At 44.8% G+C, this 24449-nt stretch overlaps 1 protein-coding gene across 10 annotated transcripts in view, besides 8 other annotated features; it reads right to left on the bottom strand.

The window, feature by feature from the left end:
• Positions 1 to 21472, bottom strand: part of ETF1 (eukaryotic translation termination factor 1) — a 37142-nt gene extending 15670 nt beyond the window's left edge. For 2 of the 10 annotated variants that reach the window (NR_157090.2, NM_004730.4), the window contains exons 1-2: positions 21333 to 21472; positions 21069 to 21172 (exon numbers count right to left, since the gene is read on the bottom strand). Coding sequence is in view for 4 of the 10 variants with exons in the window: in NM_004730.4 (NP_004721.1) it covers positions 21069 to 21154 (86 nt within the window). In the remaining 6 variants the exon portion in view is untranslated. Of the gene's footprint in view, positions 1 to 7790; positions 7915 to 19754; positions 19948 to 20869; positions 21180 to 21332 lie in introns of those variants that run through there. The other 8 variants (XM_047416932.1, XM_047416930.1, NM_001291975.2 and 5 more) reach the window with 7 other exon arrangements.
• Positions 1860 to 2797: an enhancer, noted in NCBI's record as "H3K27ac-H3K4me1 hESC enhancer chr5:137859313-137860250 (GRCh37/hg19 assembly coordinates)". NCBI's record gives its function as "activates a minimal SCP1, AML or CMV promoter by ChIP-STARR-seq in primed H9 embryonic stem cells {active_cell/tissue: H9 hESC(primed)}" and the evidence as "EXISTENCE:reporter gene assay evidence [ECO:0000049][PMID:30033119]".
• Positions 14996 to 15290: a silencer, noted in NCBI's record as "tiled region #2814; HepG2 Repressive DNase matched - State 5:Enh". NCBI's record gives its function as "represses a minimal TATA promoter and a strong SV40 promoter by Sharpr-MPRA in HepG2 cells {active_cell/tissue: HepG2}" and the evidence as "EXISTENCE:reporter gene assay evidence [ECO:0000049][PMID:27701403]".
• Positions 20983 to 22182: an enhancer, noted in NCBI's record as "P300/CBP strongly-dependent group 1 enhancer chr5:137878436-137879635 (GRCh37/hg19 assembly coordinates)". NCBI's record gives its function as "activates an origin of replication core promoter dependent on BRD2, BRD4, P300/CBP, MED14 and CDK7 cofactors, with strong dependence on P300/CBP, by STARR-seq in HCT116 cells {active_cell/tissue: HCT116}" and the evidence as "EXISTENCE:reporter gene assay evidence [ECO:0000049][PMID:35650434]".
• Positions 20983 to 22703: a biological region, named in NCBI's record as "P300/CBP strongly-dependent group 1 enhancer GRCh37_chr5:137878436-137879635".
• Positions 21124 to 21913: an enhancer, noted in NCBI's record as "NANOG-H3K27ac-H3K4me1 hESC enhancer chr5:137878577-137879366 (GRCh37/hg19 assembly coordinates)". NCBI's record gives its function as "activates a minimal SCP1, AML or CMV promoter by ChIP-STARR-seq in primed H9 embryonic stem cells {active_cell/tissue: H9 hESC(primed)}" and the evidence as "EXISTENCE:reporter gene assay evidence [ECO:0000049][PMID:30033119]".
• Positions 21293 to 21342: a silencer, noted in NCBI's record as "silent region_16401". NCBI's record gives its function as "represses an Ori minimal core promoter by ATAC-STARR-seq in GM12878 lymphoblastoid cells {active_cell/tissue: GM12878}" and the evidence as "EXISTENCE:reporter gene assay evidence [ECO:0000049][PMID:35858748]".
• Positions 21633 to 22032: an enhancer, noted in NCBI's record as "active region_23206". NCBI's record gives its function as "activates an Ori minimal core promoter by ATAC-STARR-seq in GM12878 lymphoblastoid cells {active_cell/tissue: GM12878}" and the evidence as "EXISTENCE:reporter gene assay evidence [ECO:0000049][PMID:35858748]".
• Positions 21914 to 22703: an enhancer, noted in NCBI's record as "NANOG-H3K27ac-H3K4me1 hESC enhancer chr5:137879367-137880156 (GRCh37/hg19 assembly coordinates)". NCBI's record gives its function as "activates a minimal SCP1, AML or CMV promoter by ChIP-STARR-seq in primed H9 embryonic stem cells {active_cell/tissue: H9 hESC(primed)}" and the evidence as "EXISTENCE:reporter gene assay evidence [ECO:0000049][PMID:30033119]".

Genomic DNA, 24449 nt, shown 5'->3' on the forward strand with positions numbered 1-24449 from the left:
GGTGATCCCCCTGCCTCAGCCTCCCAAAGTGCTGGGATTACAGGCGTGAGCCACCGCGCCCAGCCTGTAAGTTAAAATTTTTTAGAGCATGCACTTCCCCAAAACAGTAGTTCAGTTCTCAATTTTTTGCAGATGAAAATCACCTGGGGAGTTCATTCTAGGTGATTCCTTTTCAAAAAGGATTCCTGTAAGTTTCATTTCTTTTCTCATCCTGATTTTTCTTAGTTTAGTCACAACATGGATAAACGACTATTTAAAATATTAGATGATCTACATCAAGTGGATTTCAAAATTAAAAACTTTTAGGCTGCTCTACAGAGTAGCCATTCTCTTGTTTTTTGTTTTTTTGGTTTTTTTTACTTCTCTAATCAACTTGCTTTCATTCTCAAAAAAACCCAAAAACCGACCTTTGGACTTCAAAGGATAGCATTAGGAAAGTAAAAAGACCCACAGAATGGGAGAAAATATATGCAAATCATATTATCTCTTAAGATTTATGTAAAGAATATAAAGAATATGTAAAAACTCATAATTCATCAACAAAAAACCCAAATAAAAAATGGGCAAAGGGTGTGAGGAGACATTTCTACAAAGACATAGCATGTGAAGAAATCGAAATCTTCATTCAATGCTGTTGGGAATGTTAAGTGGTACAATACTTCCAGAAAACAGTCTGGCAGTCCTTAGGAGTTTAAACACAGAGTTACCATATGACCCAACCACTCTACTCTTAGTTAGATACCCAAGAGAACTGACAAAATATGTAACACACAAAAATTTGTGCTTCAATGTTCATGGAGGCATTATTCATAATAGTAAAAAAAAAAACAAAACAAACGAAAAAAAGAAACAACCCATATGTCCAACTGATAAATGAATAATCAAAATGTGGTACATTCATATGCTAAAAACTATTCAGCAATAAAATAAATGACATATTGCATTAACTTACACTACATTGGCCAGGTGTGGTGGCTCATGCCTGTAATCCCAGCATTTTGGGAGGCTGAGGCAGGAGGATCACAAGGTCAGGAGATCGAGATCATCCTGGCTAACATGGTGAAACCCCATCTCTACTAAAAATACAAAAAATTAGCCGGGCGCAGTGGCAGGCGCCTGTAGTCTCAGCTATTCAGGAGGCTGAGTCAGGAGAATGGTGTGAACCCGGGAGGCAGAGCTTGCAGTTAGCCAAGATAGCGCCACTGCAGTCTGGTTGGGGCGAAAGAGCAAGACTCCATCTCAAAACAAACAAACAAACAAACAAACAAAAAAACCCTTACACTACATCAAGTAAAAACTGTCACAAAAGAACACATATTGTAGACAGGGCACAGTGGCTCACGCCTGTAATCCCAGCATTTCGGGGGGCCAAGGTGGGCGGATCACGAGGTCAAGAGACCGAGACCATCCTGACCAACATGGTGAAACCCCGTCTCTACTAAAAATACAAAAATTAGCCGGGCGTGGTGGTGTGTGCCTGTAATCTCAGCTACTCAGGAGGGTGAGGCAGGAGAATCGCTTGAACCCGGGAGGCGGAGGTTGCAATGAGCCGAGATAGAGCCACTGCACTGCAGCCTGGATGACAGAGCTAGACTCCGTCTCAAGGAAAAAACAAAAAAATTAGCCGAGCGTGGTGGCATGTGCCTGTAGTCCCAGCTACTGGGGAGGCTGAGGCAGGAGAATCGCTTGAACCCGGGAGGTGGGGGATGCAGTGAGCCGAGACCACGCCACTGCACTCCAGCCTGACAACAGAGTGAAACTGTCTCAAAACAAAAAAAACACCACATATTGTATAGTTCCATTTACACAAAATGTTCACAATAGGCATTCCAGAGAGACAAAGGTAGATTAGTGGTTGCCAGGGGCTGAGGAGAGGGAGGAATGCAGAGTGATTGTTAAAGGGTACAGGGATTTTTAGGTTGATGGAAATACTGTTTTTCTTTTTTTAAGGAAAATATTTTAAAATTAGTGGTTGCACAACTCTGGAAAAACAGTGAAATAATGCACTTTAAAGGGGAAAGGCTGGGCGAGGTGGCTCACACTGGTAATCCCAGCACTTTGGGAGGCTTGAGGCAGAACTGCTTGCGCCTAGGAGTTTTGAGACCAGCCTGTGAAATGCAGTGAGACCCTGGCTGGGCATGGTGGCTCACACCTGCAATCCCAGCACTCTGGGAGGCCGAGGCAGGCAGATCACTTGAGGCCAGGGGTTCAAGACCAGCCTAGCCACTATGGTGAAACCTCACCTCTACTAAAAATACAAAAAGTTGCTGGGTGTGCTAGGCGTGGTGGCTCATGCCTGTAATCCCAGCTACTCTGGAGGCTGAGGCACGAAAACTGCTTGAACCTGGGAGGCAGAGGTTGCGGTGCAGTGAGCCGAGATCGTGCCACTGCACTCCAGCTTGGGTGACAGAGTGAGACTCTGTCTCAAAAAAAAAAAAAAAAGTTGGGCATGGTGGCACACGCCTGTAATTCCAGCTACTTGGGAGTCTGAGGCACGAGAATCGCTCGAACCTGGGAGATGGAGGTTGCAGTGAGCCCAAATCGTGCCACTACACTCCAGACTGGGTGACAGACCGAGACTGTCACAAAACAACAAACCAAAAACCAAAAAAATATAGTGAGACCTGTCTCTACAAAAATTAGGCAAGTATGGTGGTATGTGCCTGTAATCTCAGCTACTTGGGAGACTGAGGTGGGAGAATTACCTAAGCCCTAGAGGTTGAGGCTGCAGTGAGCCGTGATCACACCACTGCACTTCAGCCTGGAAACCAGAGTGAAACTGTGTCTCTTAAAAAAAAAAAAAATTTCTTTCCGTTTTTTGTTTTTTTTTTTGAGACAGAGTCTTGCTCTGTCACCAGGCTGCAGTGCAGTGGCGCGATCTCGGCTCACTGTAGCCTCTGCCTCCTGGGTTCAAGCAATTCTCCTGCCTCAGCCTCCCCAGTAGCTGGGACTACAGGCACACGCCATCACACCCGGCTAATTTTTGTATTTTTAGTAGAGATGGGGTTTCACCATGTTGGCCAGGATGGTCTTGATCTCCTGACTTCATGATCCGCCCGCCTTGGCCTCCCAAAGTGCTGGGATTACAGGCATGAGCCACCGTGCCCGGCCAGGATATTTCTTTCTTTCTTTTCTTCCTTCCTTTCCCTTTTTTTTTCTTTTTTACATTTTTGGAAGTTAATTTTATTATATGAAGATGGTATACAAAATACATTCATCATGACTAAAAATAATAGGACCCAGGATATTTCTTTTAATGTCTCTTGGTCTCAACCTGACAGTTTCCCCCATAAAAGCCAAAGCATGTTTTCCCGAGAAGTAGTAATTTGTGTTTTTACTAAATTATCAATAAATTCTAATTTTATCATGTTAAGAAAAACCAGCTTACTATTAATAATTTTTTTTTTTTTTGAGATGAAGTCTCACACTGTCACCCGGGCTGGAGTGCAGTGGGGCGATCTTGGCTTGCTGCAGCCTCCACCTCCTGGGTTCAAGCGATTCTCCTGCCTCAGCCTCCCAAGTAGCTGGGAGTACAGGCGTGCGCCACCACGCCTGGCTAATTTTTGTATTTTTAGTAGAGATAAGGTTTCACTATGTTGGCCAGGCTGGTCTCGAACTCCTGACCTCGTGATCCGCCTGCCTCAGCCTCCCAAAGTGATGGGATTACAGGCGTGAGCCACCATGTCTGGCCTATTAATAATTTTATGAGAACAAGCAGCAGTATAAACAGAATCAAATCTACAACATATAGGAAACTAGAAATCCCAAATCTGCCCTGACCTGATCTAAAGGCTGGCTTTAGTACAATAGCTACCAGTATAAATTGAGCTGACTTACATCTTGAAGGCAAAGGCTGATCTGATATGAACCGAAGCACACTAAAAAATGCAGTATCACCTGGCCAGGCGCGGTAGCTCATACCTGTAATCCCAGCACTGTGGGAGGCCGAGGCGGGTGGATCACCTGAGGTCAGGAGTTCGAGACCAGCCTGGCCAAGATGGTGAAACCCCATCTCTACTAAAAATACAAAAATTAGCTGGGTGTGGTGGCACACGCCTATAATCCCAGCTACTTTGAAGGCTGAGGCAGGAGAATCGCTTGAACTTGGGAGACAGAGGTTGCAGTGAGCAGAGATCACGCCACTCACTTCAGTCTGGGCAACAGAGTGAGACTCTGTTTAAAAAAAAAAAAAAAAAAGAAATGTGTTATCACTTTATAAACTGTTTCTATCTGATATTTCACGAGACTGTAAGAAAGTTACTTCCTGAGATCCTTATAGATTATTGGATCTATACCCTTAAAGGGTATATAAGTTTAATATTGTAGTTAGACTGCCAGAACCATCTAAACTTTCCCCTAATTACTGAGAGTGCATCATCTCACAGTAGCCCAATATGCCAGCTTTAATAAAATCTCACCTATCCAGAGTCCAGTGGAAGCTGGCAAGAAAAAGAAATCAGAAAGCTGGTTACAGAGTCAAATTAAATGGGCTTACGTGTTAAGTGACTAGTAAGAACAGAAGCAGCACTGTGAGGGGAACGAAAATAAACCCCCTATATTAGCTTTTAACTACAGGTGTTTAAAATATGAAAATATCTCAAATTGGGTCCTAGAAAGCTTATTTTCATAAAGCAAAATTTCATAAACGTGTACTATAGTGTCTTCGGTATTTGCATTGGGAAGGGATCTCATTAACAGGACCTCTTGCCCTGGAAGTTTTCTCCTAGTGGTTAATTCCACAGGTTTTCCAGGCAGAAAATGGTTTTCTTCCCGCCTACCCCCTGCCCCCCAGGATGGAGTCTTGCTCTGTTGCTCAGGCTGGAGTACAGTGGCATGATCTTGGCTGACTGCAACCTCCGCCTCCCAGGTTTAAGCAATTCTCCTGCCTCAGCCTCTGGAGTAGCTGGGATTACAGGCATGCACCATCATGCCCAACAGCTATTGTTTTTTTTTTGAGATGGAGTCTCGCTCTGCTGCCCAGGCTGGAGTGCAGTGGTGCCATCTCAGCTCACTGCAAGCTCTGCCTCCTGGGTTCAAGCAATTCTTCTGCCTCAGCCTCCTGAGGAGCTGAGACTACAGGCGCATGCAACCACACCCAGCTAATTTTTTGTATTTTTAGTAGAGATGGGGTTTCACCATGTTAGCCAGGATGTTCTCGATCTCCCGACCTTGTGATCCGCCCACCTCAGCCTCCCAAAGTACTGGGATTACAGGCATGAGCCACCATGCCTGACCTTCTAATTTTTGTATTTTTAGTAGAGATGTGGTTTCACCATGTTGGTCGGGCTGGTCTGGAACTCCTGAGCTCATGATCCACCTGCCTTGGCCTCCCAAAGTGCTAGGATTACAGGTGTGAGCCACTGTACCCGGCCCAGAAAACAGTTTTCTTTCTAACTAGATGAGCTGGCTGTCCAGTCCTCCCACTATCAAAAATAGCTACTCTCAGATTGGCAGCCAAAGTTACATATCCAAAAATCAGAATTCTGTTTGGGTGTCTACCTTGAAGGCTGGTTCATAAACTTCTGTGCTATTTTCCCCAATAAATTACAAGCTAATCAAAGACAGTACACAGGACAGTATGGTGTGTGCTCTGCTGCCACCCCTTGGATAGGGGAGCAAGCATTCTGGCCAAACCACGGAATCAAGGAAATTTATGATACACTGCTTCAGTTATCATCACAAACACTTGCTAGGCTTCTAAACTGTAATTTCCAAAAAACCTTTTTGATAATTCCTTCTGGAGTTATGTCAAACTCTACATACATGCCAATGGAGAGAAAAGATACTTGCTTTGGAAGAGACTGGAAACACTGGGCAACTAAACAGAACTTCCATCACAATCTAGACTGTAGGTGCCACCTACCTGACACAGGGGTCCACTCATGCACAGGGAGAATACGAAGAGATAAAAGATGGGGAAAACACTTGAGTACCAATTTTACTGGCTTATGCTTGGTAAGCCAATTCTCAAGGGGCCTACAACCCTAGGGGTTTGTAGGAAGTTCTTTCTTTTCTTTTTTTTTTTGAGAGGGGGTTTCCCTTTTGTTCCCCAGGCAGGAGTGCAGTGGCACGATGTCACCTCACTGCAACCTCCGCCTCCTGGGTTCAAGCCATTCTCCTGCCTCAGCCTCCTGAGTAGCTGGGGTTTCAGGTATGTGCCACTACGCCTGACTAATTTTGTATTTTTAGTAGAGACGGGGTTTCTCTATGTTGGTCAGGCTGGTCTCGAACTCCCGACCTCAGGTGATCCGCCCGCCTCAGCCTCCCAAAGTGCTAGGATTACAGGCGTGAGCCACCATGCCCGGCTGGAAGTTTTTTCTTAAAAGGTGTTGGTTTTTTAAAAAGCCGACATGCTCTGACTTACAGAGAATAGTTTCCTAAGATGCAGTCGGCAGGGAATGGAATGAAAACGGATGGCAAAGGTAAAGTCTCAGAGCTGAGGAAGAACAGGCAACAAACCCCAAAGATTTGGAACGTTTAAGGCTAAAGAGGGGAGAAATTTGGGACAAATTAACTGAGAGAACTCAAAATGCCTTACAGCAACCCTTCAAATAAGATAATGATGTGGAGGGCAAAGCAATGACCTTAAGATAAGCAGCTACTTACTTTCCACTGCTGATAGTTTAAGAAGATAAACATTCATTAAGCAACCCTACTGTATAGCCCAGTTGGGCAACCTTACATTCCATATCCATGTAACATTCCAGAGGACCAAGGAGCAAATACACCTAAGAATGTAATCTTGTTATAGGATTCCACTTTAAAAAATGGCTCAAAAGTGTAGCTTGCCTAAGAATTGTTTTTTGTTTGGTAGATTTCTACAAAGTTGATAAATGAAACAAAACTTGAAACTTGGTCTTGGCTTCTTATTCCTTTTGAATTAGGTGCAAAAAATTACCTTTCACTAGTTTCCCTGCATGCCCCCTCCCCCTACCTTCTATGGGGGAAACATTAAGTTTCTGAATTTACCTTTAAAATAAGACACCTGACTAGGGAGGGGAAATGCAGATTATTAAATGGATGGCTTTCACTTTAAAAATTTAAAGGGTACTTTAATAACTTCTGATGTTTTGTATGTTAGGTTTAATACAAGCAGACTGGGCCAGGCATGGTGGCTCATGTCTGTAATCCCAGGACTTTGGGAAGCCGAGACAGGTGGATCACCTGTGGTCAGGAGTTTGAGACCAGCCTGGCCAACATGAGGAAACCCATCTCTACTAAAAATACAAAAACTAGCTGGGCGTGGTAGTGCATGCTTGTAATCCCAGCAGGAGAATCGGCTTGAGCCTGGGAGGCAGAGGTTGCAGTGAGCCAAGATCCCGCCATTGCACTACAGCCTGGGTGACAGAGCGAGACTCCATCTCAAAAAACAAAAACAAAACCAACAAAAACCAAAACCAAACAAACAAACAAACAAAAAAAACAAGCAGATTAACGTTTTTCCAGTAAAGTTTCCAAACAAGATAAACATTCATTTACCCTCACTCCTGCAAGTCAATCAAAGTTGTTAGACCAGTTTGTGTAAACACCCAAAATAAAATTAAGGAAGCTGAATACTTCCATGTCTTTTAAAGTGAACACCCTTCAGGGGAAAATGAAAAATAAAGCTCTCACTAAGGAGATGCTGGCTACACAGGCAAACTACAACCTTCTTTAACTGTAATAGTTTTCCTTCGTTTTTCTACTATCCCTATACTCCTCTTCCGAAATCAAAGAACTAGTGAATCATGGGGTACAGCAATGTGTCACATGCAGGTTGTAAAAACTGGGCAAAACAAGAGACAACATACAGCAATGTATCCCTCAAAGCTCCCAGGGGCCTCTGCACTCAGATTCTCTTCTTGTTCTCATTGGTTTTAGGGGCACTTTGGCTTATCAAAGCTTTCATCAATGCTTCGCCCAGAGGGTTAACGTCTGAAAAATCAAACAGGTGAAAAAAAGGAATTGTAACAGAACTAAACCAAATAAATCCCAAACAAAACTCAAGTAGAAAGATAATTTTTTTAGAGATGGGGTCTTGCTCTGTCACCCAGACTGGAGTGCAGTGGCACAATCACAGCTCACTGTAACCTGGAAACTCCTGGGTTCAAGTGATCCTCCCACCCTAGCCTGGGACTACAGGTACGCACCACCACGCTCAGCTAATTTTTCTTTTTATTTTCGAGATAGGATCTCACAAGGCTGCCCAGGCTGGTCACGAACTCTTGGGCCCAAACACTCCTCCCACCTCAGACTCACTGAGCAGCTAAGGTTATAGGCGCAAGCGACCGTGCCCGCCTGACCCACAAGGATCTTAATCAATGTTCACCATCATCAACAATGCTCAAGAACACTTCAGTTTGCATACCTCCCAGCCCTGAATCCTTTTAGAGCTTTCTAAAGAAGCAAAATAAAAGAATACATGCTCAGACACAAAAGATCCCTTCTTCCTCCATCCTGACTCAATAGTTTCTGAATAGGGAGAGTGAGGGTGGTGATGATTTTGGTTGAGACAGTCTCAATTTTGAAATATGAAAGATTTTTTTTTTCTCTGAGACAGAGTCTCGCTCTGCCACCCAGGCTACAGTGCAGTGGTGTGATCTCGGCTCACTGCAGCTTCTGCCTGCTGGATTCAAGTGATTCTTCTGCCTCAGCCTCCCAAGTAGCTGGGATACAGGCGCCCACTACCACGCCCAGCTAATTGTTGTATTTTTAGTAGTGATGGGGTTTTGCCATGTTGGCCAGGCTGGTCTCGAACCCCTGATCTCAAATTATCCACCCACCTCAGTCTCCCAAAGTGTTGGGATTACAGGCTTTAGCCACCGCACCCAGCTGATTCTTTTCTTTGAGACAGAGTCTCACTCTTGTCTCCTAGGCTGGAGTGCAGTGGCGCCATCTCTGATCTTTGCAACCTCTGCCTCCCCAGTTCAAGCAATTCTCCTGCCTCAGCCTCCCAAGTAGCTAGGGTTACAGGCACGCGCCACAATGCCTGGCTATTTTTAGTAGAGGCAGGGTTTCACCATGTTGGCCAGGCTGGTCTCGAACTCCTGACCTCAAGTGATCTGTCTGCCTTGGCCTCCCAAAGAATTGGGATTACAGGTGTGAGCGACTGTGCCCGGCCTCAAATACGCAAGATTCTAATGCAGAACTAGGGTTGAGAATCACTGCATCTGGCTTGCTTTCTTCACAGGGTCATCTCTAGGTCTGCTGAAGGTAACAAGCCTCCACAACCTCACCTCCACCCAAAGAAGAAGAACCCAGAGCAGTTGCTTGCTGCATTTACCCTATGCTATGGTTTGAAGGTGTCCCCCCAAATTCATGTGTTGGAAACTTAATCCCCACTGCAATAGTATTGAAAGGTGGGGCATATGGAATGTGTTTAGGTTATGAGGGCTCTGCCCTCATGAATAGATTCATGCTGCTATTTAAAATAAGGTGCTTATAAGACCTGAGAGCTACAGTCACACGCGCACACAAAAAAGATAAAATAAGGTGCTTATAAGTAGTGGGCCATCTCTCTTTTGTTCTCTTGCCATGAGAGGAACAGTGTTCCTCCCCAACAAAGGATGCAGCGTTCAAGGTGCCATCTTAAAAGCAGAGAGCAGGCCCTTACCAGAACACCAATCTGTGGTATTCTGTTATAGCAGCACAAAAACAAAAATCAAAAAACCCCCAAAACCTAAGACAACCTAGCTATAATACAACCATAATGAATTGTGACAGCTCAGAGATACTCAACTTTACCAGCCCGAACACTCACTCCCCCTCAAGTACTCTGCCATCCAAGTCATCACTTGTAAATCACGTTAACTACTTTCAGGTTAGGACCAGGAACGTTTTAGACACTGCTTACTATACTCCCTAACCGGGATGTACAGTACATGCTCCCCAAGAAGCTTTCATCCCAGGGTTTGATGGCTGGGTTGTGCCTAGGCTATGGATGGCCAAATTTTTCACCACTTCCCTTTTCAAGCTCCCATCTGTGCCTGCCTCACAAAGCTCAATTTAAATCTCAGCCAGAGGCCAGGTGCAGTGGTTCACACCTGTAATCCCAGCACTTTGGGAGGCCAAGGTGGGCGGATCACGAGGTCAGGAGATTGAGATCACCCTGGCTAACAGGGTGAAACCCCATCTCTACTAAAAATGCAAAAAAATTAGCCGGGCGTGGTGGCGGGCGCCTATAGTCCCAGCTACCTGGGAGGCTGAGGCAGGAGAATGGTGTGAACCGGGAGGCGGAGCTTGCAGTGAGCCGAGATCGAGCCACTGCACTCCAACTTGGGCGACAGAGCGAGACTCCGCCTCAAAAAAATAAAATAAAATAAATAAATAAATAAATCTCAGCCAGATCATTTCTGGGAAAGTCACTAAGCCAGCAGTATTACATGGATCACCACCTGAAAATCAATCAGTTCCTCTTCAATTTCTACTCCATTTCCAAAACTGTCATTGTTTTATTCACTGTGTGTTTTCCATTTTTCTTCTCCCAAATTTGCAAAACTAAGTTTAAACTTTTAAACTAAGATGGTCTTTTTGATATGGGGTTAATATGGGAACAGAATAGGAGGAGCCCAGATTCAGGCTCACGTCCAGCTCTATCACTTAATGGCCGTGTGACCGAAGGCAAACCACACAAATCCCTGTGGGTCTGTTTCTACTTACTTCACAAGATCATGAGGATTCTACGAGATCATATATGTCAAGTGCCTAGCTTGGAGAGCAGATAGTAACTGATCACTAAATGGTAATGAGATGGAGCTCTAGTTCTTGACTATCGCCTCCCCTCCACCAGTAGTACCAGTTGGAAAGAAGTAGCACAGCCCAACTAGAAATGGGGAGGGGAGAGAGGTAATATCAGATGGGGTTGAAGTCTTATTTGAATCCTGTTAGGTCCTGAAGTATGAGCTGATTTTTTGTAGCAGATGATGGTCACCTTTACGGGATTACAGGACTTGCCAAATCTTCCACAGAACAAAAGAGCTATACCAAAAATAATATGGCCAGAACACTGGAAACTCTGTAATTTATCATAAGGGAGAACCATAGAAATTCATTCCTTTCTAAAACTTGTGTGGCATGAGTTCAGTATTCTGATATAACCTATGGCCAGTCTTCACAGGGACCTGATACTCAACTTCTCTTTTCTCTTCCACCAAGTATCAAACAATGAAACACATTGTTTACAGTAAGTGTATATAAGCTTCTTTTTTTTTTTTTGAGACGGAGTCTCACTCTGTAACCCAGGCTGGAGTACAGTGGCGCCATTTCGACTCACTGCAACCTCCGCCTCCCGGGTTCAAGCAATTCTCTTGCCTCAGCCTCCCAAGTAGCTGGGATTACAGACACGGACCACCACGCCTGGCTAATTTTTGCATTTTTAGTACGGAAAGGGTTTCACCATGTTGGCCAGACTGGTCTCGAACTCCTGACCTCTCCATCCACCTCAGCCTCCCAAAGTGCTGGGATTACAGGCGTGAGCCACCGGGCCCAGCCCAAGTGTATATAAGCATCCTGAGGGCAAAAATCATTTTAGCACATAGTGGTGCTCAAACATTTGAAAAATGAATAAATGGCCAATTCCTACCATCATCTCTATATACTCTTTTTTAAGCAAACACCAGAGATTTATTCTAAACTACCAAATAAAATACCAATAAAAAAATCTGGCCGGGCACAGTGGCTCACGCCTGTAATCCCAGCACTTTGAGAGGCCGAGGCAGGCGGATCACGAGGTCAAGAGATCGAGACCATCCTGGCCAACATGGTGAAACCCTGTCTCTACTAAAAATACAAAACTTAGCTGGATGTGGTGGCACGCACCTGTAGTACCAGTTACTTGGGAGTCTGAGGCAGAAGAATCGCTTAAACCTGGGAGGCAGTGGTTGCGGTGAGCCAAGATCGCACCACTGCACTCCAGCCTGGAGACAGAGCAAGACTCCACCTCAAAAACAAAACAAAACAAAAACCAACAACAAATTGTCAGTCCTTGGAGAGGAACTAATGTGCCTTAAATTGACTAACTGTCCCCATCTTTCACTGCACCTAAAAGTTCAAACCATCATACTATATTAGGCGTTTACCTTAAGAAAACCAGCACTAAACAAAACCAACCCTTATGAAGTGTCATTTTAATTTTGTTGATCCTCACATTAATGCCACCCCACTCCCTCTGCTACTACCATCTATGAGGCATGTTAGGAGGTGGATGGGGCTGCCTTTTATAAAAGGTTTAGTTAGACTATCAAATTAGGAGGGATGATTCTGTTACCCTTCAAAGGGACTAGGAAAGTTACCTGAAATTAGTTTATGCAATTGACCTTAGAGTCAGATGCTATTACCAAATGGGAGAAATACCAAGACCGGAACTTACTGAGACATTACAGCAACCTCCACCCTAGGGTACAGAATAACTCAGATGTCCAAACATTTTCAGAATAAAGTTCACAAAGGTTCATTTTAGCTTTCTGTCCCCCAGAGAACAAAGATTTACTCAGTCATCTAAAACAAAAATGTACACATCTGGTAGAGTGTGTACACTTTTTCTACAATGATAGGCATTATTAGTCTTAAAAAGAAAAATTAAAAGATCTTCACAAACCCAGTGGAATATTCCACCAGGAAGCAGCTTTGAAGCTGGAAAATTTCTCTAGTGTTCTTACAACAGTGCAAAGCAAGAGACTGCAATCACAACCAGTGTTCGGGATTCATTACTTCACTACTTAGATCTTTCTAATATACGAATGAGCTCCTGGGGAGGGATTTTGCAACAAGTTATTTCTCTCTCCACTGATGCTCGTCAAGAATAAACATGTTCAGTATCCAAGTTCTTCCTAGGGTGGAAATAGCATGTCTGTTTTCTTTTAAATCTTTGCACCTGAGTCTCAGCACACCTGCTCCTCCTACTAAATTACAAATCTCCATGGACAAGAGTCTTCCTTTCAGAAGGGAATGGGAGACGTCTCTATTCAGCAAAAGAAATACTTGCCAAAGGGCAAGGTAGTGTTGTACAAATTAGCACCACAGGCTTTGAAATCAGAAAAGTGAGTACAGAATCTGGCACTGACCCTTACTAAAGGCTGTGATATTAGGCAGCTATTTACTCCCTGTATGTACTTTAATTTCTTCATCCATGAAATGGCAATAATAGCTTTCCTCACAGAGCTGTTATAAGGTTATAAGGGGGGGGGTCAAATGTATGCTTACTCATCCTCAGAAAACTAGTTTCTTTTTTTTTTTTTTTTTTGAGACAGAGTCTCCCTCTATAGCCCAGGCTGGTATTGGCTCACTGCAACTTCCGCCTCTTGGGTTCAAGCGATTCTCTTGCCTCAGCCTCCCGAGTAGCTGGGATTACAGGCATGTGCCAACACACCCAACTAATTTTTTTATTTTTAGTAGAGACAGGTTTTCACCATGTTGGCCAGGCTGGTCTTGAACTCCTTACCTCAGTGATCTACCTGCCTAGACCTCCCAAAGTACTGGGATTACAGGCATGAGCAACCATACCCAGCCAATGTTACCTTTTTTAAAGAAGAAGAAGAAAGCATTAGTTCCCCCATGAAGCAGATGGGGAAACTGAAGCCCATGGATGAATAATTGGCTTTTTTTTTTGAGACAGAGACTGGCTATGTTGCCCAGGCTGGAGTGCAGTGGCACGATCTCGGCTCACTGCAACCTCCTTTTAATAAAAGATGAATTTCGGCCAGGCGCGGTGGCTCACGCCTGTAATCCCAGCACTTTGGGAGGCCGAGGCGGGCGGATCACCTGAGGTCAGGAGTTCGAGACCAGCTTTGCCAACATGGCAAAACTCTGTCTCTACTAAAAAATGCAAAAATTAGCCGGCTGTGGTGGCGGGTGCCTGTAATCTCAGATACTTGGGAGGCTGAGGCAGGAGAATCGCTTGAACCTGGGAGGTGGAGGTTGCAGTGAGCTGAGATCACGCCACTGCACTCCAGCCTGGGCAAGAGAGCAAGACCGTCTCAAAAAAAAAAAAAGAAAAAATTAGCCAGGCTTGGTGGGACACACCTGTAATCCCAGCTACTCGGGAGGCTGAGCTGAACCTGGGAGGTGGAGGTTGCAGTAAGCTGAGATCGCACCACTGCACTCAAGCCTGGGCGGGAAAGCGAGACTCCGCCTCAAAAAAAAAAAAAAAAAAAAAAAAAAGACCTTAATCATCTGCTTATACTAAATCCCCTTCAACATGTACTGTGTTATTCTGTACTCACTAATATGGAGTTGAAAATGGTTTATATTATCATTCCATGGTTGTGTGGCAGATCATGTTTTCATTTTATTACATATTTCTTCCAAAATGTCTAGTGCCCAACTCACAGCAGATGTTTGGTGAAGCCCATTAGCTTACTGGTTAATAGTAAAAGTGCATTTCTGGCTTCATATTCATATACCCAGATGTGTATTTTGGAGGAAAATCTAGTTTATAAGGTCACAGACACAGCAGGAAAACAAAAAGAACCTTTTATTTTGACTATGATCATTCTTCTAAAGGAGATCTTAGAAGAACAAATGAAAATGTGAAAACAAGAGTACAAACTCAACATGCAGAGCTATCTGTATGATAAGAACCAGTTGCCAGGCACCTGAAAATGTCAAGTCCTCTGAACCTGAAAGGATTGTGAGAAGAGTAAAGAGAGTGGGCAAGGATGTGTGTCAAATGGCATAAGATAAAACCGTATCAGAGGGAGCTTCATCATACTCTCTGAGGACAGTACCCAGTGAGAAACCTCAGACTCTCAATTTCTAACCTGCCGGGGAAAAAAAGCCTGAACCTTCCTAATTCCTTCTCCCCCTCACTAAGATAGTAGGCTGCTGAAGAATTAAAAGACACCTACAGAATGTATCCTAGGAGAAGGTTCTATTCTGAGAGCCCTAGAGAATAGGCTGGACTGAGAAGTAATTTCTACTGTCCAGCCTCTTAGTTGAACAGATCCAGCAGTGGGAAGGCAAATTTCTCCTTCCTACTCTTCAAATAGGATCGAAGACCATTTATAGCCCTGCTGCAAAGCTGACACTAACTTTTTTAACAATGAAGTACCATCCCAGGACAGGGGGTGGTGCTGTACTGGGCCGATCCTCAATCTCAAGTTCAAAGAAAACGAGCCCTGTGAAGAAAGGGTCCAACTGGTGTGGAGGATGGGAGAGACCTATAACCTACACAGCACTCTGCCTTAAATGATACTCTAATTATGTACTCTTGCTTACCTTGCAATATGTCCAGAGTAAGCCTTCCTTCCCTGGAAGCATAAGTATATCTGCTATTACAATAGGAGGTCTGTCAAGACTTGAAATTCAAAGGGAGTAATTGTTCATTAGGTTCACAGTGCATAGAACACCATGCCAGATACAACGGCTGTTAGGACTAGTTCTGAGTTGAAGCAGGCAGCCTACATACTTGGAGGAAACTAAGGACCACCACCACATCCTTTCTAACATATATACTCTGTCCTCTTCCCTTTACTACCTCTTTTCTCTCTCATCTATTTCTCCTCTTTCTCATAGTTCAGACCTGTGGCATCTGTATCCTGATCTTTTAATAATACAGTTCTCCATTAGGGTATCTCTACAGAATCAATGTTTGTATATACAAAAGGAAAGAGCTAACATTACAGAGCACTCTCTATGTGGCAAATGTGGTGTTAAGTATTTTAACCCATATTATCTCAACTGTTACCACCTAATCCAAGATTAATGTCCATAGTTACACATGTGGAAACCAAAATTTGGAAAGAGTGAGAAGTCTGTAGTTGTTTGTTCTATATTCATCTCTTCTCACAAAACTTAAAATAGTCTAGTTCTTGACTTTTTTCTCATGTGGTCTTTATTTATTATTATTGTTATTATTATTTTTTTTGAGATGGAATCTTGCTCTGTCGCCCAGGCTGGAGTGCAGTGGCGCAATCTCGGCTCACTGCAAGCTCCGCCTCCCGGGTTCAAGCCATTCTCCTGCCTCAGCCTCCCGAGTAGCTGGGACTACAGGTGCCCGCCACCATGCCTGGCTAGTATTTTTAGTAGAGACAGGGTTTCACTGTGTTAGCCAGGATGGTCTCGATCTCCTGACCTTGTGACCTGCCCACCTTGGCCTCCCAAAGTGCTGGGATTACAGGCGTGAGCCACCGCACCAGGCCCCTATTATTATTATTATTTTTTTTTTTTCTGAGACTGAGTTTTGCTCTTGTTGCCCAGGCTGGAGTGCAATGGCGCAATCTCGGCTCACCGCAACCTCCACCTCCCAGGTTCAAGCGATTCTCCTGCCTCAGCCTCCCTAGTAGCTGAGATTACAGGCATGCACCACCATGCCTGGCTAATTTTGTATTTTTAGTAGACAGGGTTTCTCCATGTTGGTCAGGCTGGTCTCAAACTCCTGACCTCAGGTGATCCACCTGCCTTGGCCTCCCAAAGTGCTAGGATTACAGGCGTGAGCCACCACGCCCGGCCTGGGCCCCTATTATTTTTGAGACAGAGTTTCACTCTGTTGCCCAGGCTGGAGTGCAGTGGCGGAATCCCGGCTCACTGCAACCTACGCCTCCAAGGTTCAAGCATTTCTCCTGCCTCAGCCTCCCGAGTAGCTGGGATTACAGGTGCAAGCCACCACACCCAGCTCATTTTTGTATTTTTAGTAGAGACAGGGTTTCACCATGTTGGCTAGGCTGGTCTTGAACTCCTGACCTCAAGTGATCCACCCACCTTGGCCTCCCAAAGTGCTGGGATTACAGGTGTGAGTCAACGTGCCCAGTCCTCATGTGGCCTATTAATTTGTCTAACCAACAGTTTGGGGGAAGGGAGGCATGGAAAGAGCCAGAATAGAGGACAAAAAAAGTCTTCTTTATGAGCCTGAACTTTAAATGGTTCAGGTATTTGTATCAAAGACCACAATGTATCATTTTAGCTACAACCAGCCCTTCAACGATAGTGAGGGAAAAAAAAAAAGAATGTGAAATTCAGTGCTTTGAGAATATTATTTCCACCACCATTTAGGTGAATATTCTATTAACCAACAATGTTTACTTGGGGAAGGTACTCAAACACATCCAACATACCTTAATTTATTCAAAGTATATAAATTAAGCAATCTGTTCATATTAATTATCTCTAAGATTTAAAACATTAACCTATTCAATGATCTCGCCAAAACACTGTTAAATCTATATAATGTGAGGAATTCAGTGGGGATTCTTTAAAAATGGTTATATTTGGGGGCAGGAACAACCAATTTTATTTCATTTAGAATTAAGATATCAACAAGTTATTTTTAAGTAAACAGTTTTTAAAATGTCCAAACACTACAGCAGAAGTTTGCAAGCTCACTGACCTTCAAACAAGGGTTATGGTTATGAGGGTTATCTGACCAAGTGTTCATTGGATAAGAAACACATAAGGTTTCCTAGTGAAGATAAGTGAAGACATTTTAACACCCACAGACACAACCTAACCCAAATTAACACTGTCCATTCCTTTGTCACATTCACCACTGTCCCTGGCTAGCACAGGCTCTAGTTATGATTTTATTAACATTACCTTAAAACTATAAGGTGTCCAACATTATTTCTGAGGCCACCTCTTGCCTGCTCAGAAAACACCAAGGGAAAAAACAACCAATAATTCTCCCCCTTTTTCCAACATACGTTGACCTGTTTTAGTTCCTTATTCAAGATACCCTCAACCACAGTATTGGTTTATGTATACATTTGTCCTTCATAAGCCAACTGTGGAGCATATACCAGGAGCAATCATGAACAGGGAAGAACTACCATCAACTTTAAGTGGGGCCTATGTCTACCAAAATAATTAACTGGTTATTTTACTAGCACACACAAACTAACATTCGACCAGGCTTATCTGAAACCAAATAAGCATGTTCTACCCAAATCAAAAATCAAGTTTATGTGTGACACTCCTTTCAACTCAGAAGATTAAGTATGATGCTGGTTACAAAACAGAATGCTATGAAGTTCCCCATTTTAGTAATGTGGCCTCTATAAATGCTCTTCTACACACGTGTAACATAAAATAGAATCTGTTATAGCTCAGACTACATTTTAAGGAAATCTAGTTTTGTATTTTCTGAAAATAAAATATACCCATTATAGCACATTGGTTTAAGTTCTGAACTCTGCTACATTTTTGCTGTGACATCTTGGACAAATTATCTCTTAGCCTCAGGTGCCTTGTCTACCAAATGGTGGCAATACTTGTGAGGATTAAATGACTTAATAATGTACTGTAGCACAGTCTATAATATAGTATGTGCTTAATAAATTATTTTGCCAACATACTTCCCTTTATTCAGATGTAGTTAGTGAGCCCATTTTGCAGGTGGTTCCTTTTTCAAGCTACATTAAATTTGGGTCATATATCAAGAGATAACCACATAGGATTATCTTAATTTCAAAATCACTCTTATTCTAGCATATTTTAATAACTACTGTTAAAAACAAATCCATGATTCCTATGCCTAGAATTCTACACTGCTAAGGGGAGGAAAGGGCTTTTTCATTTCCAAAACAATACTGTTACTCAACCACTAAGTCTCACTACCTTGTCCTAATAACCATGCCTGAAAACCTCAGTTTCCTCCTGAAAACCAGAGTATCCCCAAAACATCAGCAAATACAGATTCATTTTGCCATCCACTTAAGTCTTTAAAGCCCATTACAATTCTTCTAAAGATATTTTATCACTAGGTAAAGTAGGAATAACATTTTCCACTGTACCCTATCTATGAAAATCTAGAGTCTGACTTTAACACAAGTTGGCAATGAAAATATTCCCACCTCCAAAAACTGGTATATACTGGGGAATCTTCTGACTCCCTTACCAATACTCAGAGATGGCCAAGATTTTAAATTTCCATGGGATCAAGATGCAACCAAATCCTGATTAAAAGCAAAGTAGGACATGATTATTAACCACAATGTGTAGCGGAAGGTCCTCCAGCTATTTTAGACAGCTTAATCATGTCTGAAATATCCAAACTCAACAACTTGAAATACAAGTTGTGTCTTATAACTTCATTTTTAGCATGCTTTAAACTTTACTGAACTTTGCTAAACAAAGAGGTAAAGCCTTCAAAAGCCTTAAAGAGGCGCTTAAAAGTTTCTAGTGGCTAGGTAACATGGGTAGAACAAATTTAAGAATGAGTTTCCTTCATTAAGCAGTAGAAAGGAATGCTGTTACTTATTAAGCAATGTCATCTTCAATGTTACTTCATTCAAACAGGCAAATTATAGTCATGATTTAATTTTTTGGACTGTTTCAGAGAATATAACGTATGCAAATTAAAATGTGTAAACCTGCCTGCTACTGAAAGCAGTAAGAACAAATCCAGAGGTCACATCCACCTATATACAATACTGCAACAACAGCAATCTATAAAATGCAATACTGGATTGAAGGCTTCAAGTAACAAAACAAGATCCTACTGAAACAAAAGAACCTGGCTAATTCTTGGTAGTGCAACATAATGGGTCGTGACCTATGTTACCCTTTCTGTACAGTATTCTCACATTTTGGGAATAACTGGTCACTCTATCATACGGCACAAGTTCCTGTAAGATCATTAAGAAGGTCTGGATATTCTATTGAATTCAAAGAAAAACCTAAGGACTAACAAGCCGCTGTCTTCGATTCATATTAAACTAACGTTTCTCCAGTAAACCGAAGGAGTGAGCACAAGCCCGTCACTGAATGGGGCCAAACTTTTAGAAGCCTCATTCCAAACAGAACTGTCCCTAATTTATTAAGAACAAAACACTAGTAAAACCAACCTGTGAATTGGGCCTTCAGTACAATTAAGCACATCCTGTTTCATATAACAGTAATAATGAAGAGCTTGGAGGGGCTGTCATTCTAAAATTGCAAATCTACCCATAAATGACAATCCTGGGCTGGAAACCAGAATGTCAAATTCTTGTGCTGAAATCAACTTTTCACATGGCCTGAGGCAGGCCATTCTACTATTCTAAGAATGCTCAGACATACAAGTATGTAATAATGTTCCAAACACTTTTTTTTGGGGGGGGGGGCACTTCCTGTAAGTAAAAAGTTTCTATGACTGGGAAAGGAACAAAATAAAGTAATAAAAGAAACAGGAATACCCCTGGCACACCTTCCTCAAACGAACAACGTTAAAAAAAAAAGAAAACACACACACACAGCTAATTTTAATCTAGCCTACTCTCCCCCCAATGGACACACCTACAGTTTCTTATCAAAATGTACAAGACTCAAAGCCCATTTAATTCAATTATGAATCTCACTCAACAAGCATCAAGCACATCAGGCGCCTCTCTACAGCGATATCCCCACAAGTTTCAGAGAAATGCCAGCAGGGACTCTGTAGTTATGATTCCTATCAAACGGCCCCCTAACCCGTATTTCTCCTGGACATACACATGCAGATTCATTAACCAAAACCTACCCAGCACCCCTCACATCGCGCGTACGTTGGCATTTTCAGTTTATAGGTGGGTCCTGGAACAGCTAAAACCAGGAAGCTCCGGGGTAATTAGAGGACTTGGGAGAAGTCATCTTGGGACAGGTGGAAGACCCAGAGAAATCAGGAATCAGAAAGAAGCTGTCCCTGGCCACCTCTGCTTCCCGTCCCATCCAAACTTCACCCACCCGGGTCTCAGAAGCCCAGAAGGGAGAGGCCATTTTAATGAGGCCTGGCTGAGAAATGAAGGGAGAAGAGGAAATCAGGGAAGGGCCCTGGGAAAGGAAGGCCGAACACTTTGCCACAATAGCACCCGAGTCGGGTGGCAGCACCTGGAGCCCGAAGAGGGAGGACCTGGACTTAAGGGCCCGGGAGAGGTGCAAAAGTAGCGGTGGCCTACCACGAGGGGGGCCGAGTGATCTAAACCGGGGAGCGCGGGCCCCTTACCCCCATGCGGGGAAAGGACCCCTTCTCGGGCCAACCGCGCCGACCCTCGCCCCTGGGTCAGGGGCTACTACCCAGAGATCCAGAAGGCGGGAGTTGGCTAGTGCCTGGTTCTCCTCATCCGGCCATGCGGCGCGGGGGCGTCCATCCTGAGGGGTCCGGGAACCAAGAGGGCACGGAGGGTGCCGGACGCGGCGCTCACCCGCGGGCCGCCTCCAAGCTCTTAATGAGCTTCTTGATCTTCCAGATCTCCACGTTCCTGTCGGCAGCACTGGGGTCGTCCGCCATCTTCTCGCCTCCTCCTCCCTAGAGCGGCCCGGCGGGGCCCGGAGACACCAAGACCACAGAGTTAGCGCCGCCGCTGGGGCAGAGCGGCCCCCTTCCTCGCCATCCCCCAGAGGCCCTCTCCTCCCGTCCGGTGCAGCTCGCCACAAAGGTCACCGGCCTTTCCCTCCCTGTGCCTTACCTAAGGGCCCAGTCCTGGGCGGCAGCGGCTGCTCCTCCCCGGCGGCGGCTCCGCGGCGGCGGCGGCTCTGACGTAGGACACCGGCTCCCTCTCTCCAGGCAGCTGCATGTGTTGCAATCCGCTCACATGGGGCCTGTGACATCACTTCCTCCGCCAGGGGCGGAGTGGAAGGCGGCAGGCGGAAGGGAGGGGGCCGGTGCGAGTGAGGAGAAGCTGGGCGTCCGCCGCGACTTCTCATTGGCTCTCTGCCCCGCAGCCTACAATGAGCCCGCCGATTGGCTGCAGCTGGGTCCGCGCCGCCTTGTGAGGTAAGGCTGGGGGGTGGGAGGTGCCACCTTTCTTCCGGCCCGGCAAGGCGAGAGGAGGAAGCGGGCGGAAGCCGGTGGCTCTCGCGAGTTTACTGAGAGCCCCCGTCAGGCTCGAATGGGGGTGGTTCTTAAAGAGAGAGGACCGGGGTCGTCGTCTTTTCAGTCCATTCTCCTTGAATAGGGTGGACATCTGAGGCTTTGCGACTCGAAGCTAGGCACTTGGGCCCGACGCGCGGTTTGAACGGTGCTTGAGAAGCCGCGAAGAAGCGCCTCGCGCTCAGCGGCTTCTTCGCTGACGAAGTGCTGCGGTCTGCGTGCGTCATGGCTGCACGGAATAGTGTGGAGGAGTCCTGGCCAGTAGGTCTGGATGAGGAACCTGCCTCCGGGCGGTCCGGGACCCTCACCTGCAGGGGCGAAAGAGGCCTGTTTTCTCTCGCCCCAGAGCTAGGACGGGCTCACTTTGGACTTAGAACTTTATGGGGTGGAAGACAGCGGGGGCTGCCTGAGCTTGGAGACCTGAGGTATCTGGTCCCATGTATGATTTGGCCTGAGCCGTTGAGAATGGGGGTGGAGAGAGTTGAAACAAAATGGGCATCCACATACGGTTAGAACTTTATCTTTTTGAGTTAGGATTTTTAGGTGGCTACTTTGTCCCCCCTCACCTCGTCTGGGTTCAAATATTGAGCCCAGACCGTGTGCTGGACCCTGTTTTCCTGGGGATACAGAGGTGAACCAAACAGATGACAGTACTTACCCTTATGGAGCTTATAGTCGATTGGGTTTTTAAGTTTGTGATTTTATACTTTTTGTAATAAAATAATTACACAAATGCTTAAGTACTTCAGGGTGCTCTGAGAGTGTATGGCGGGGACCCAGCTCTGAAATGAGACCCAAAGGATGATTAAGAGTTTGTCAGGAGGAAACAGAATACAGTTGAGAACTACAGAAACGCCAGTGTGCTGGCACAAGGTCAGGGACGGGGAGAGTGGTTTGAGGGAGCAGCAGGGGAAGAGGTCATGTAGGGTCTTTTAAGCCAGATTCAGAAGTTTGGTTTCTTTCAAGAACAGTGGGTAGTTTAAAGGGTTTAGAGCCCTGGTGTGGACTGGAGAGAGTACAGGAGAAGCCCAGAGACCATTTTGGCTGCTTCATTATCATGTGAGAGATGATTTTCGCTTACATTAGGGTGGTGACAGTGCAGATAGAAGTGAATGAAGGGCCTGGTGCAGTGGCCCACGGCTGTAATCCCAGCACTTTGGGAGGCCAAAGGGGAGGATCGCTTGAGCCCAGGAGTTTGCGAGCAGCCTGGGCAACATGGCAAGATTCCGTCTCTACAAAATTACAAAATATTAGCCTGGTGTGGTGGCCCGCGCCTGTAGTCCCAGCTGCTTGGGAGGCTGAGGTGGGAGAAACCCTTGAGCCGAGGAATTCGAGGCTGCAGTGAGCTGAGATCACACCACTACACTCCAGCCTGGGTGACAGAGCGAGACCTTGTCTCGAGGAAAAAAAAAAAGTGAATAGGACTGGATGATGGATTGGTTGAGGAAAACCAAGAATGGTTCCCAGAGTACTGAAGTGGTGACATTTACTGAGGTGGGAAAGGTGAGGAGTAGGTGTTGGGGGATGATTGAGAATTTCATCTTGGGCCTGTTAAGTTTGAGATTGCTTATGAGACATGTAAGTAGGGATGTCCGTCATGCGCTTTCATTTGTATGGTTTTTGAATACTTTTTGCATGTGTTATAAACTGTGTCCACACTTTGAAGATGGGGGTATGACCTCCATTTCATACATGGGGAAACTGAGGCAAAGAAAAGTGAAAGGGATCTGCTCAGAGTCCACAGCTAGTTTATGGCTTCCCGACTCCATTTTTGGAGTCCAGTGTATTATACAGTGACCCCATTACCTGTATTTTCATAGGGTGGGGACACGGTCATACTTCTGTCCCCCAGGAAATGAATCTCAGGTTGGAACCTCTTCTTTGGGTTCCATTTTGTAGTTTTTGGCATATGTTTATTTGTTATATAATATTGTACTCCTGCTGTGTGTGTGTCATTCACTGTGTTTAGTAGTGAACGGAGGGGTCTTCTTAGTCATAAACACTGCTTACTGACTAGGAATCAACTGTGTCCAAGGTTTTCCTTCATTCCTCTTGCCCTGGTTCCTCCTTTCTATATTAGATTGCCCTACTCTACCCTTCCTGTTCTTTTTTTTTTTTTTTTTAAAGACGGAGTCTCCCTTTGTCGCCCAGGTTGGAGTGCAGTGGCACGATCTTGGCTCACTGCAACCTCCACATCCCGGGTTCAAGCGATTCTTCTGCGGCAGCCTCCTGAGTAGCTGGGACTACAGGCGGGTGCCACCATGCCCAGCTAATTTTTTGTATTTTTATTAGAGTCGGGGTTTCACCGTGTTAGCCAGGATGGTCTCGATCTCCTGACCTCGTGATCTGCCTGCCTCGGCCTCCCAAAGTGCTGGGATTACAGGCGTGAACCACCATGCCGGGCCAGTTTTTGTATTTTTTATTTTTTATTTTTTTTTTAGCAGAGACAGGGTTTCACCATGTTGGCCAGGCTGATCTTGAATTCCTGACCTCAGGTGATCCACCTGCCTCCGCTTCCCAAAGTGCTGGGATTACATGCGTGAGCCACCACACCTGGCCTCCTCTTCCTTTTGATGTTTGTGTTTACAGCATTGCTTCAGGTCCATGCTTGAAGGCTTTCTTCTGTGTGATTCAGGCTGAAGTAAGCATGACGACATCCCAAGTAGGATTGCTGTTTTCAGCCTCTGAATTCTTAAAACTTATTTCTTAGACA

This window comes from Homo sapiens, chromosome 5, assembly GCF_000001405.40.
Source record: "Homo sapiens chromosome 5, GRCh38.p14 Primary Assembly".
NCBI lineage: Eukaryota > Metazoa > Chordata > Mammalia > Primates > Hominidae > Homo > Homo sapiens.